This window comes from Homo sapiens, chromosome 11 (genome assembly GCF_000001405.40).
Source record: "Homo sapiens chromosome 11, GRCh38.p14 Primary Assembly".
Lineage (NCBI taxonomy): Eukaryota > Metazoa > Chordata > Mammalia > Primates > Hominidae > Homo > Homo sapiens.
The window spans coordinates 66,014,997-66,028,736 of record NC_000011.10 but is presented as its reverse complement, the minus strand read 5'-3'; the positions used below and the strand labels follow the sequence as shown (position 1 = coordinate 66,028,736).

Genomic DNA, 13,740 nt, shown 5'->3' with positions numbered 1-13,740 from the left:
TTGTATTTTAGTAGAGACAGGGTTTCACCATGTTGCCCAGGCTGGTCTCAAACTCCTGAGCTCAGGCGATCCACCCGCCTTGGCCTCCCAAAGTGCTGGGATTACAGGTGTGAGCCACCATGCCCAGCCCACACAAATTGTTTCTTTGTCTGCTGCTGGCAACAGATAGTGAGCTCCTTAAAACAGGAGCCGTGTCTCTTTCATCACTGGGAACCCAGCAGCCACTATGGACATGGCTCTGACCAAGCACTCAAGAAGCTGAGACCCATAAGCTTCCAGAAGAGCTGCGCTGTGCACATATGAATTCAGCATACAGGGCAAGCTCTGCAGTGGATTCCAGGAGGAAGACAGGACAGCATGAAGGTTACAGATACAGACTTGGAGTGAGATAGCACTGACGGTAAGTTTTCATTCATCAAGCAACTCATTTATATTCTCTGAGCCATAGCACCTTTGTCTGTCAAATGGGGATAAACAATATCTACCATGTGGGGCTATTGTGAGGATTAAATTTAATGTGTATGGGCCGGGCACGGTGGCGCATGCCTGTAATCCCAGCACTTTGGGTTGTCGAGGCGGGCAGATCGTTTGAGATCAGGAGTTCGAGACCAGCCTGACCAACAGGGTGAAACCCCATCTCTACTAAAATACAAAAGAAGTTAGCTGGGCGTAGTGGTGCACGCCTGTACTTTCAGCTACTTGGGAGACTGAGGCAGGAGAATTGCTTGAATTCAGGAGGTGGAGGTTGCTGTGAGCTGAGACCATGCCACTGCACTCCACCCTAGGTGACAGAGCAAGACTGTGTCTCAAAAAAAAAAAAAGAAAGAAAGAAAACAAAATGTGTATGAAGCAATCCTCAATAAATGATGGCTGATAGTTTAATTTTGGTAATAACCCTAAAGGGGGGTTCCAAGATCAAGAAGAGAATAATAATGCCAATTAACATGTATTGGCCAGGCATGGTGGCTCACACCTGAAATCCCAGCACTTAGGGAGTGCGAGGTGGGTGGATCATTTGAGGTCAGGAGTTCAAGAGCAGCCTCGTCAACATGGTGAAACCCCGTCTCTACTAAAAATACAAAAATTAGCTGGGTGTGGTGTGCACCTGTAGTCGCAGCTACTAGGAAAGCTGAGGCAGGAGAATTGCCTGAACCCAGGAGGCAGAGATTGCAGTGAGCCAAGATTGCACCCCGGCACTCCAGCCTAGTGACAGAGTAAGACTCTGTCTCAAAAAAAAAAAAAAAAAAATTAGCCGGGGTGGGGTATGGTGGTGGGTGGCTGTAATCCCAGCTACTCAGGGGGCTAAGGCAGGAGGCTCACTTGAACCTGGGAGGCAGAGATTGCCATGAGTGGAGATCATGCCGCTGCACTCCAGCCTGGGTGACAGTGAGACTGTCTCAAAAAACAAAAACAAAAACAAAAAAACATGGGCTGGGCGCAGTGGCTCACACCTGTAATCCCAACACTTTGGAAGGGCAAGGCAGGCGGATCACGAGGTCAGGAGATCAAGACCATTCTGGCTAACATGGTGAAACCCCGTCTCTACTAAAAATAGAAAAAGTTAGCCGGGCGTGGTGGTGGGCGCCTGTAGTCCCAGCTACTTGGGAGGCTGAGGCAGGAAAATGGCATGAAGCTGGGAGGTGGAGGTTGCAGTGAGTCAAGATCGTGCCACTGCACTCCAGCCTGGGCGACAGAGCGAGACTCCATCTCAAAAACAAACAAAGAAACAAACAACAACAACAACAACAAAAACCATGTATTATGCTGTTAATATAAGGCTTACATATCTTAACTTTTTTGATCCTGTGGGCTAGGTATTATTATTCCCATTTTACAGAGGAAGAAACTGAGGCACGGGAAAGTTCAGCAACAAGCCCAAGGTCACACACCTACTTATGAGGGAGTCAGGCAGTCTTCACCCCAGAGCCAGCTGATCTCTAGATGGGACTGAAGACTGGACCACTTGGACCATTTTCTTTCCAACAACAGGGCTAAAGTAGCTGATGAAGCCATGGCGCCCCCATGGACTTCTTTGTCCAGCTTTGCCAGTGACCTGTGAGGTCACCTTGGTCTAGTCCTTCCCTTTTCTTGACCTCGGTTTCCTCATTTACAATGAAGGAGTTTGACACAATAATTCTTGATTCCGAACTATAGCCCAGGAAGAGGCATTTGGGAATGAGGCCCTGGCCTGCTGGTGACATCATAGAGGGGAGAGTTCCACGAGAATAGTCAGGCCTTTCTGGAAGCCCAGTGCCACAGTCTGCATTGAGCTTGGCTCAGGAAAGAAGGGAAATCCAGGCGGGGCCTGTTGGGCCCAGGTCTTGAGCTCTTTTGGCTCCAGAGTTCCCAGCACAGTCATGGATCAAAACTCAGTGCCTGAAAAGGCTCAGAATGAGGCAGACACCAATAACGCAGATAGGTTCTTTCGCTCTCACTCATCACCCCCACACCACAGGCCAGGCCACAGCAGAGCTCTCCACCATTACGAGTTGCACCATCACGGCGTGCCCCACCAACGTGGTGAATCTCACCACCCTCCGGAGTTCCAAGACTTCCACGACCAAGCCTTGTCCTCCCATGTCCACCAATCTCACCACCACAGCGAGGCACGGAATCACGGCAGAGCCCATGGCCCCACAGGCTTTGGTCTGGCTCCCTCTCAAGGCGCCGTCCCCTCCCACCGTTCCTACGGTGAGGACTACCATGATGAGCTCCAACGTGATGGCAGGAGGCATCATGATGGGTCCCAATACGGTGGGTTCCATCAGCAGAGTGACTCCCATTACCATAGGGGGTCTCACCATGGCAGACCCCAATATCTCGGTGAGAATTTATCCCACTATTCCTCTGGCGTGCCCCACCACGGTGAGGCTTCCCACCATGGTGGGTCCTACCTCCCCCATGGACCCAATCCCTACAGTGAGTCCTTCCACCACAGCGAGGCTTCCCACCTTAGCGGGCTCCAACACGATGAGTCCCAGCATCACCAAGTCCCCCACCGTGGCTGGCCCCACCATCACCAAGTCCACCACCATGGCAGGTCCCGTCATCATGAAGCCCACCAGCATGGAAAGTCTCCTCATCACGGAGAGACCATTTCCCCTCATTCCTCTGTGGGGTCCTACCAGCGTGGGATATCTGACTATCACAGCGAGTACCACCAAGGTGATCACCACCCCAGTGAGTACCACCATGGCGACCATCCCCACCACACACAGCACCACTACCACCAGACCCACCGGCACCGAGACTACCATCAGCACCAAGACCACCACGGCGCGTATCATTCCAGTTACCTCCATGGCGACTACGTCCAGAGCACTTCCCAACTCTCTATCCCACACACATCCCGGAGCCTGATTCACGATGCCCCCGGCCCTGCTGCTTCTCGTACAGGAGTCTTCCCCTATCACGTAGCACACCCACGGGGCTCGGCTCACAGCATGACTCGGTCCTCCAGCACAATCCGCTCACGTGTCACCCAGATGTCCAAAAAAGTCCATACCCAGGATATCTCCACCAAACATTCAGAAGACTGGGGCAAAGAAGAAGGGCAATTTCAGAAACGCAAAAGTGAGTCTTTGCTGGGCCCCCCATGCCAACTCCTGCTGCCTGGCGCAGGATCCAGACCTGATCTCGGCCCCGCACTGTCCTTCCGCAGATCGTAAGGCCCGACCCTCCTGCACAGGTCCCCCACTGGCTATTCACTCTCCTGACTGTTCATGGTCCCATCTTTTATTCCTTGAATTATGTACCTCTTTAGGCCATGAGGTGTTTGTTCATTCAGTCACTGCCTTATTTATTCATATGTCTACCAGTCAAACATTGATACTCATCCAATGTGGGTGTGTGGCCTGCCTGGGCCATGGCAGCATGGGGAAAAATTCAACACAGTCGCTGCCCTCGAGGGGCCCAAAACTAGGAGTGGTCACTTAGCTGACCACAGATCATCCTGTGCTCGGGGCCTGCCCTCAGAACATTTACCATGGTGGATTCTATCTGTCCAGATTTCTCCCACTCACCTGTGAGCTGCTTGAGAACAGAGATTAGGAACTAATGCCTGAATGAGGGCCTTATTGGAGGGCAAGGAGGGACCATGGCCTTTAGCTCATACGCCACCAAACTTTCTTCCTAGTAGTTCAATAAACATGACAACAGGCCAGGCGCGGTGACTCACGCCTGTAATCTCAGCACTTTGGGAGGCCGAGGTGGGTGGATCGCTTGAGGTCAGGAGTTCAAGACCAGCCTGGCCAACATGGCGAGATCCCGTCTTTACCAAAAAAATACAAAAATTAGCTGGGCGTGGTGGTGCACCCCTGTAATCCCAGCTACTTGGGAGGCTGAGGCAGGAGAATCGCTTGAACCCAGGAGGCAGAGGTTGCAGTGAGCCGAGATCGTGCCACTGCACTCCGGCCGGGGTGACAGTGCAAGACTCCGTAGGAAAAAAAAAAAAAAAAAAAAAAAACAAATAGGCTGGGTGCGATGGCTCACATCTGTAATCCTAACATTTTGGGAGTCCAAGGTAGGTAGATTGCTTGAGGTCAGGAGTTGGAGACCAGCCTGGCCAATATGGCAAAACCCTGTCTCTACCAAAAAAATACAAAAATTAGCCGGGTGTGGTGGTGCGTGCCTGTAATCCTGGCTACACAGGAGGGTGAGGCAGGAGAATCTCTTGAAGCTGGGAGGCGGAGGTTGTAGTGAGCCGAGATCACGATACTGCACTCCAGCCTGGGCAACAGAGCGAGACTCCATCTCAGAAAACAACAACAACAACAAACAAAATATGACAACAGTCTCAGGAACAAGCAGAGAGGGGCAAGTGTGTTATTAAATGGGGACAGGAAAGGCAGCCCAGAGGAGGGAACATTTCATCAGGACCTGAAAGGGAGAGGATAAGTTTACCAAGAGGATGGGATGATGAGGAGGGTGGGTTTTCCATATGTAAGTTGCCACGTGAGCAAAGAAAGGCATGGAGGCATAGGAGTGGGAGCCCTCAGGATCCCCAGAAGCCAACTCCAAATCCCCAACAGGCTGGCCCCTGCCACAGAAGGCACAGGACCAGCCTGTTGGGGATTTGCTGGCCAGGCTGGTCTCAAACTCCTGGCCTCCAGTGATCCGCCTGCCTCAACCTCCCAAAGTGCTGGGATTACAGGTGTGAGCCATTGCTTCTGGCCACAATTATGCCCATTTTAAAGACAACAAAACTGAGACATAGAGCAGTAGTGAAGTCGCGCAGCTGCTTACCCAGAGCTGGAGAGAGCCTGGGAATCCGGGCTTGTGTGAGGCTCATGCTGAGGAGAGAGAGGGCACTGGGTGCTGGGGACAGCCCTGAGCGCACCCCTGTGTCCCTGCAGAGTGGTACTTCATGGCCTTGGACTCCATATTCTTCTGCATCTACGTGGTGGAAGCCCTGGAGGCCAGGAGTTCGAGACCAGCCTGGCCAACATGTTGAAACCCTGTTTCTACCAAAAATACAAAAATTAGCCGGGCGTGGTGGCAGGCACCTGCAGTCCCAGCTACTTGGGAGGCTGAGGCACAAGAGTTGCTTGAACCCGGGAGGCAGAGGGCCAGCAAGCAGGCAGGAGTGACCATGGACGCTGAGCCAGGCTGGGGGGTGCCTGGGACCTCGTGTCCCCTCTTGCACACACTTGACTTTCTGGCCCTGTTCCTTTCAGCCGGCCGGCTCCAGCGGACCCGCAAGAAGGGACACTCTACCAATCTCTTCCAGTGGCTGTGGGAAAAGCTAACCTTCCTCATTCAGGGCTTCCGGGAAATGATCCGGAACCTGACCCAATCCTTGGCCTTTGAAACTTTCATCTTCTTCGTTGTCTGCCTCAACACCGTCATGCTGGTGGCCCAGACCTTCGCTGAAGTCGAGATCCGGGGCGGTAAGAGCCAGGGAGTCCTGTTCCCATGGAGAAGCCACCGATGCTCTTCCAGGACCTCCGTGGGCCTGATCCAGTGCCGGGCGGTTTATAGGACTCAGCTCACTTGATCCTCACCCCTGGGAAGTAGATGGCCTTACCCAGTATTAGAGAGCGTCTCAGAAAGACCCCGCTGAGGCCGGCCCGAGACAGAAGGACCCGCTAGGCGGGAGGCGGTGCTGTTCGCGCCGCAGCCACTAGGGAGCGCATCTGCTCCAAATGTGCGGCTGAGGGCGGGCGGGCGCCTGGAGCCCGAGCTTCGCGGAAGGGCCGGGAGCCCGAGAAGGCCCTGGAGGGGCGAGGATGTAAGGTCGGGGAAGGCTGGGCCCTCCAACGCCGTGGAGCAGGGTGAAGGACAGGAGCTGCCCGGCTCGCTGTCTCAGGCTCCATTCTAAGCACTTCGCTTGTGTTCATGCATTTAACGCTCACAACTCTATCAAGTGGACTTCAATTATCCCCATTTTATTTTATTTTATTTTAGACGGAGTCTGGCTCTGTCACCCAGGCTGGAGTGCAGTGGCGCGATCTCACTGCAACCTCCGCCTCCCGGGTTCAAGTGATTCTCCTGCCTCAGCCTCCCAAGTAGCTGGGACTACAGGTGCCCACCACCATGCCCAGCTAATTTTTGTATTTTTGGTAGAAACAGGGTTTCACCATGTTGGCCAGGCTGGTCTCGAACTCCTGACCTCCAGTGATGCGCCCGCCTCAACCTCCCAATGTGCTGGGATTACAGGTGTGAGCCACTGCTCCTGGACACAATTATCCCCATTTTAAAGACAAGAAAACTGAGACACAGCAGTAGTGAAGTCGCGCAGCTGCTTACGCAGAGCCGGGGAGAGCCTGGGAATCTGGGCTTGTGTGAGGCTAATGCTGAGGAGAGAGAGGGCACTGGGTGCTGGGGACAGCTCTGAGTGCACCCCTGTGTTCCTGCAGAGTGGTACTTCATGGCCTTGGACTCCATATTCTTCTGCATCTACGTGGTGGAAGCCCTGCTCAAGATCATCGCCCTGGGCCTCTCGTACTTCTTTGACTTCTGGAACAATTTGGGTGGGTGCGGCCGGGGCCAGGCTGCGTGTGTTTAGTCTGGGGGAGGCTCGGGACGAGAGAAGGATGGGGAAGGGGGCGCTGGCGTTGGGAGCCCGCCAGGCTCAGGCACCCCGTGCCCTCAGACTTCTTCATTATGGCCATGGCCGTGCTGGACTTCTTGCTGATGCAGACCCACTCCTTCGCCATCTACCACCAAAGCCTCTTCCGGATCCTCAAGGTCTTCAAGAGCCTGCGGGCCCTGAGGGCAATCCGGGTCCTGCGGAGGCTCAGGTCAGTGGCCACGGCTCCCACCTGGGGTGGGGACTCCAAAGGAAGAGGGGACACAGACCAGGGCCCCAAAGAAATCCACTGTGACCTGCTCAAGGGATGGGGGCGCAGGAGGCTGCTGACCCCAGCCTGCTTCTGCCTTCTGTCATGCACTGGAATCAGCCCCTTCATTTTTCCAGAGAGGGGCCAGGACTCACCCAAGTCACCAACAAGTCAGGAGCCTCCTGCCTTCAGCGCCAGCTGTGGCTGCTGGGCAGAGACACACACCCCCGCCCCTCACCGATGACTCAGTCCCCACTCCTTCTGCCCACAGCTTCCTGACCAGCGTCCAGGAAGTGACAGGGACCCTGGGCCAGTCCTTGCCGTCCATCGCAGCCATCCTCATCCTCATGTTTACCTGCCTCTGTATCCTGGTGCTGCAGGGGCTGGGGTGGGGGCCTGAGGGGCTGCGGTGAAAGGGGTGCGGGGAGCAGGGATGGGGCAGGACGAGGGGCGCTGGGGTGGGGATAGCACTGGAGAGCTGAGTTTGGCCCTGAACAGCCAGTCCTCTTCTCCGCGGTCCTCCGGGCACTGTTCCGCAAATCTGACCCCAAGCGCTTCCAGAACATCTTCACCACCATCTTCACCCTCTTCACCTTGCTCACGCTGGATGACTGGTCCCTCATCTACATGGACAGCCGTGCCCAGGGTAGGGCAGGCCCCAGGCTGCAGGGAGGGCCGGGGATTGGCGGGGTGGACCGGCCAGGGCTCAGTGACCCCATCGGCAAAGTGGGGCTTCTGATGCCTGCATGTCCGGGTATGGGAAGGGAGCAGGTCGTGGTTGGGGGTGGCGAGCACAGCCTGACTGTGCCCTCTGGCCTGCTCCCCCTAGGCGCCTGGTACATCATTCCCATCCTCGTAATTTACATCATCATCCAGTACTTCATCTTCCTCAAGTGAGGACTCACCCCTGCTCTGCTGCCCAGCACCACCCACACTTCCTCCTCTCCCCTGGGACCCTTACCCCAGCCCTCTCACCCTGGTCATGCCACGCTGAACCCACAAGAAGTACCGGGTGCCCCTCTCCTCTGGCCTCCTCGCTGAGGGCACACCCCTGTCCCTCTCCCCAGCCTGGTGATTACTGTCCTGGTGGATAGCTTCCAGACGGCGCTGTTCAAAGGCCTTGAGAAAGCGAAGCAGGAGGTACCGAGTGGGGTGGGACAGGTGGACCAGATCAGGAAGCTGGAGGAGTGAGGCCAGGGGCCTCCAGGGTTGAGCAGGCCTGGGACTCTGGCAGATCTGAGGCCTCTTCTTCCCAGAGGGCCGCCCGGATCCAAGAGAAGCTGCTGGAAGACTCACTGACGGAGCTCAGAGCTGCAGGTATGGGCCTGGCCCGCCCTGGCCCCACCTGCCCGTCCGCAGTGGGGGCCAGTCTCTCCATCCCCCTAACCTCCTTCCACAGTCACAGAATTCCAGACTCAGTTTTAGAGTTTTAGAATTTGAGACTCAGGAGGACTTTAGTCCAGAGGACCCTAGAACAATCCTCCCAAAGCCAGTTAAACTGCTTGTCAAGTCTTTTTTTTTTTTTTTTTTTTTTTTTTGAGATGGAGTCTTGTGCTCTGTCGCACAGGCTGGAGTGCGGTGCTGCAATCTCTGCTCACTGCAACCTATGCTTCCCAGGCTCAAGCAATCCTTCCATCTCAGCCTCCTGAGTAGCTGAGACTGCAGGCATGCGCCAGCACACTCGCCTAATGTTGTTGTTTTTTTGTGTGTGTGTGTATTTTTTAGTAGAAATGGGGTTACACCAGGTTGGCCAGGCTGGTTTCAAACTGGAACTCCTGACCTCAGATGATCCTCCCACCTCAGCCTCCCAAAGTGCTGAGATTGCAGGTGTGAGCCACAACACCTGACTGTGCTTGTCAAATCTTAAAAGACCTACCTGGGGCCGGGCATGGTGGCTTACACCTGTAATCCCAGCACTTTGGGAGGCTGAGACGGGCGGATCACCTGAGGTCAGCAGTTCAAGACCAGTCTGGCCAACATGGTGAAACCCTGTCTCTACTAAAAATACAAAAATTAGCTGGGCATGGTGGTGGGCACCAGTAATCACAGCTACTCGGGAGGTTGAGGCGGGAGAATCACTTGAACCCGGGAGGCAGAGGTTGCAGTGAGCCAAGGTTGTGCCACTGCACTCCAGCCTGGGCGGCAGAGTGAGATTCCGTCTCAAAAAAAAAAGAAAAAAAAAAGTTCTAATTGGCCAGGCCTAAGTTACCTGTCCTTGAAGCTGGGGGGTGGGGCTAACTTCAGCCAGAGGACATGGACTGAAAGGGGGTATCCCTGAAGCTGGAGGTGGGGCTAACCTCAGCCAAAGGACATGGACTGAAAGGGGGTAGAAGTGATTTGTTCCTCAAGACAATTGGGGCACTTCTTCCAGAAGTGGGGTGGGTGCTAGACGGGCAAACAAAGGGAACTGCATCGTGCTGCATGCCCGGAGAAGCAACCTCCTGGAGCAGCCTGGCCAGAAACTCCATTAGCCCTTATCTTCCTGACACATGGGGTTCCTCTGCCTCCTCTCCAAATCCAGGCCTTGACCTCACCCTTCTTTCTCTACATCCAGAGCCCAAAGAGGTGGCGAGTGAAGGCACCATGCTGAAGCGGCTCATCGAGAAAAAGTTTGGGACCATGACTGAGAAGTGAGGAGACAGGAAGGGAGCGAGGCCTGGGGTCTGAGGGTGAGGCCTGGGGGCCTGGCTGGAGGGCTGGAGGGAAAGGGACATTGCCTGCCCCTCTAGAAGGGGATGGAGCGCTGAGGCTTGTGGATGAGCCTGTGGGTGCAACGAGGAGACCCTGGGTGGCTTCTGCACATCCAGAGGTGTGTGTGCCACCTGGCTAATCCCAGCAGCAGGGGTGCCACCCATTCCTTCACCCCAGAACCATCCCCAACCTTTGTCAAGTCTGGGCCCTGTGAGGGCTCCAGGGACCCAAAGAGGACACAGATTCAGCCCCTGCCCATGAGGACCCCACCTCTAAAGACCTGTGTTGGGCCATGGAGAATGAGTAGACTTCAGCCAAGTGGAGGGATAATGAGGCGGTTGGAGGAACAGCTTAGATCAAGGCCTGGAGGTCCGATGCTCAACCTCCATTCCTGTCCACTTGAGTGGCCAGCTGGGCCAGGACATCTGGGGACTCATGCTGTCCCCATGAGAAGGATCTCTGGGGAGCCAGGCCTGGGAGCACCAGGAGCCCTGCCCAAGCCTGGTAAACCCTCATGTATCTTTCTCTTTTTTTCTTTTTTCTTTTTTTTTTTTTTTTGAGACAGGGTCTCACTCTGTCACCCAGGCTGGAGTGCAGTGGCACAATCTAGGCTCACTGCAACCTCCGCCTCCTGGGTTCAAGCGATTCTCCCACCTCACCCTCCCGAGTAGCTGGGATTACAGGTGCATGTCACCACACCCAGCTATTTGTGTGTGTGTATATTTTTTTAGTAGAGACAGGGTTTCACCATGTTGGCCAGACTGGTCTGGAACTCCTGACCTCAAATGATCCACCTGCCTTGACCTCCCAAAGTGTTGGGATTACAGGCATGAGCCACCGCGCCTGGGCTCTCACTTATCTTTCAAACTCAGCTCATTGACGCTGCCTCCAGAAGTCTTTCCAGGTCGCCAGCATCAGGCGAGGTTTCCCTCCTCTGGGCCCCTCAGAACCCAATTTCATGCCTCAAAGTGTCAGCAGCTGTCTGGCTCTGAGGGCAAGCTGTCTCTCATTCATCTCCATCTCCTCGGAGTACCTTGCTGTGTTCATTGTTTCCAGTGTTCTTTGATGAATGGGTTGACAAGATGGCGGGGAGGGTGTGAATGGGACAATGGGTAATGTGGTGGGCAGATGAGTGGGTGGAGGGACAGGTGGGTGACTGACTACACAGCATGATGAAGGTGTCAATGGGTGGGTGGGGGGTGGCTACAGGGAAGAGCAGGTGGGTGGAGGGGGAGGTGAGTTGTGAGTGGCTGGAGGGCCAGATGGGTGAGTGACTGGATAAGGAGGTGGGTGGATGGATGGGTGGATGGTCGAGTGGGCGTATGGGGAGGAATGGGGCTGACAAATGGGTGGGTGGAGGGATGGGTGGTTAGGAAGATAAACAAAGCCAGAAGCCTCTGCGCTACAGGCAGACTTGGGCTCTTTCTCATATCTGGAAAAGGAGACCTCCTGGAAATGCAGGTCTGCAGTCATATAAATTTTGTGGGGAGGAGGCAGGCAAGAAGAGCCTCTGGGTGGTTCTGGGGTGCAGTAGGCCCAGCCAGCAGGTCAGCCCAGCCCCTGTCTCTGCGACCCCCCCGCCCACCCGCAGGCAGCAGGAGCTCCTGTTCCATTACCTGCAGCTGGTGGCAAGCGTGGAGCAGGAGCAGCAGAAGTTCCGCTCCCAGGCAGCCGTCATCGATGAGATTGTGGACACCACATTTGAGGTGAACCAGGCAGGAGCGGGAAGGGGCCGGCGAGGGGAACCCCAGGGGCTTGTAGCCAGAAATGGCTCCAAGTAACTCCCATGGGGATCGGGGAAGGCAAAGTCTGGCTCATTCACCCACCAGTGCCCCACTCACCCCTGCAGGCTGGAGAAGAGGACTTCAGGAATTGACCCCAGGAGGACACCAGATACAGACTTCAGCCCCTGGCAGTCTGCCCACCTGGGTGCACTGGGACGGGTCCCCAGATCTGCTGGAATGATTGTCCGGGCCCTGCAGAGCAGGGGCCCCAACAGAGTTTTTAAACCCCAGGAGGCTCCATGTCCTCACTGACTAGGCCAAGGCGCAGGGAAGGGAATTGGTGCACACACACGAACGAGTGTGTGCCCGTGTTGCATGTGAAAGGAGCTGCTCTTGGATCCCCTCCAGCCCTACCAGCGCCCGCATGCTAGCTCAGCCCAGCAGGGCATTAGCAGCAGCTGGAGGGATGAAGCAGAACGTGGGCTGAGCTCAGGTGCCGGCGGTGCCGGGAGGGCCGAGGAGGCAGTAACCCTGCTTTGGGGAGGAAGGCCCATCTGGCCCAAGAGTCAGGAGAAAAAGAATAGGCCTGAACACCCCAGGGTTACCAGGGCCTGGGGGCCCAATAGGCTCTAGGAATGGGGACTCAGAGCCCAGGAACTCAATCCTACCAGGACCCTCAGCTCCAGTAGAAGAGCACCAACCGGATGGGGATATCATGAACCCAGAGGTCGGAGGTCATTGCCATATCCTGCCCTTTCTGGGGTCAGACTCTAGAGCCCCACTGAGGGGAGGTGGAGTCGGGGCTGCTCAAGTCCTTCTGGCCTCAGGGCAAGGGGCGGGCAGGGATGTGTGGAGGACCCTGCTGCTGGGAGAGGGAAGCAGGGAATGAGGCTGAAGGCTGCGCCCCATTGCCTGCTCTAGGACTTAGATGACCTCCCCGACTGATAGCCTGAGCCTAGGCTGGATGTCCAGAGCCCCTGTCCCCATGGCTGGGGGTGACAGTGGGACACTGGCCTATGCTGGGTGCTGGAGACCTAGCACTGAGTCAAGTTCAAGCCTCGCCCTGGCCCCAGGGGTCTCTCCTTAAGTGGAGGGTTTTCCATTATCTACAACAGCCATCTCACCTCTAGTAGAGGCGAATCCAGGGTGCAGTTCAGGCCGGAGGGAGTCAGGAGCGGGAGCTGAAGGGCAATAGTTTTTTGCCAACCCTCCCATCTCTGGACCAGACCAGTCAGTGCTGGAGCTTCCAGGGTCCCAGGACAGAAGAAGCACCTCCCCTCCCTGGTCTGGCGGAAGGCACTGGCTGGCCCAGGGCCCAGGGCCCAGGAATAGACTATGCGGAGGAAATGCCATCTGGGATTTGGGCACAGATTCCAGGGGCGGAGAGGTCACCGGGCAGGCGTCTCTGGGCCTTGCTTCTCTCCACCACCTCACACATTCATTCAACAGGCATTTCCTGCCACCCACCCTGTGCCTGCCCCATGCTGGGAGTCCCTGCTTGGTGGCACATGGGAGCCCTTCCAAGCAGCAGGCCCCGCACACACCCTGGGCTGTCTGAGCTGCCACATCTGACAAGCTTGAGCAGAAGCAGGGCTGGATGTTGTCTCCTGGGTCCCCAGCTCCTGTCAAATGCCACCCCTCAGCTTCTCACTCCCAGGTGGGACCCAGGGTCTACTTCCCGTTTCCCCGTCTCTACCCCAATCTGGCCTCCAAAGGCCGACAGCAGGGCCTGGGAGCTGGGGCTGCTGCTTATTAGGCCCCAGCCTTGGGCAGGGGACCAGGCAGGCACAAGCAGGGTGTGAGGCCTTGTCAGAAAGGAAGGACCGTGGGATGCTCTCCGCAGCCACTGCAGTGCTGCCTGCCTGGGCCTGATGGTGCCTATACCTAGCACCCCCAAGGCCCATATCCCAAGTGTGGGTGTGTGCTTGTGCATCTGAGGAACCTCTGGGTGTGGCATGTGGGTCCTTGGGTTGTGTTTGAGTTTTGTGTGTACATCTCCAGGTTGTTTCTCTAGGGTGTGTTGCTTCTGTGCTCATGAGTTGCTA

The 13,740-nt window shown here is 55.8% G+C and overlaps 1 protein-coding gene across 4 annotated transcripts, besides 1 other annotated feature; it reads left to right on the top strand.

Moving 5' to 3' along the window:
* CATSPER1 (cation channel sperm associated 1) lies at positions 2,258–11,985 on the top strand. 4 transcript variants are annotated; one of them, NM_053054.4, is made up of 12 exons: positions 2,258–3,573; positions 5,676–5,888; positions 6,858–6,971; positions 7,094–7,241; positions 7,552–7,643; positions 7,783–7,926; positions 8,110–8,173; positions 8,348–8,420; positions 8,537–8,597; positions 9,835–9,910; positions 11,563–11,677; positions 11,821–11,985. In NM_053054.4, exons 1-12 carry the CDS (start codon positions 2,358–2,360, stop codon positions 11,845–11,847), a joined length of 2,343 nt encoding a protein of 780 aa, NP_444282.3. In that variant the 5' UTR covers positions 2,258–2,357; the 3' UTR covers positions 11,848–11,985. The 4 variants fall into 4 exon arrangements, 3 of the variants coding, with proteins under 3 accessions (NP_444282.3, XP_047282293.1, XP_047282294.1); XM_047426337.1 differs by lacking the exon at positions 11,821–11,985 and having other exon boundaries at positions 9,835–9,949; positions 11,563–11,651; XR_002957121.2 differs by lacking the exons at positions 8,110–8,173; positions 9,835–9,910; positions 11,563–11,677; positions 11,821–11,985 and having other exon boundaries at positions 8,537–8,562.
* Positions 5,586–6,087: an enhancer, noted in NCBI's record as "H3K4me1 hESC enhancer chr11:65790121-65790622 (GRCh37/hg19 assembly coordinates)". NCBI's record gives its function as "activates a minimal SCP1, AML or CMV promoter by ChIP-STARR-seq in naive H9 embryonic stem cells {active_cell/tissue: H9 hESC(naive)}" and the evidence as "EXISTENCE:reporter gene assay evidence [ECO:0000049][PMID:30033119]".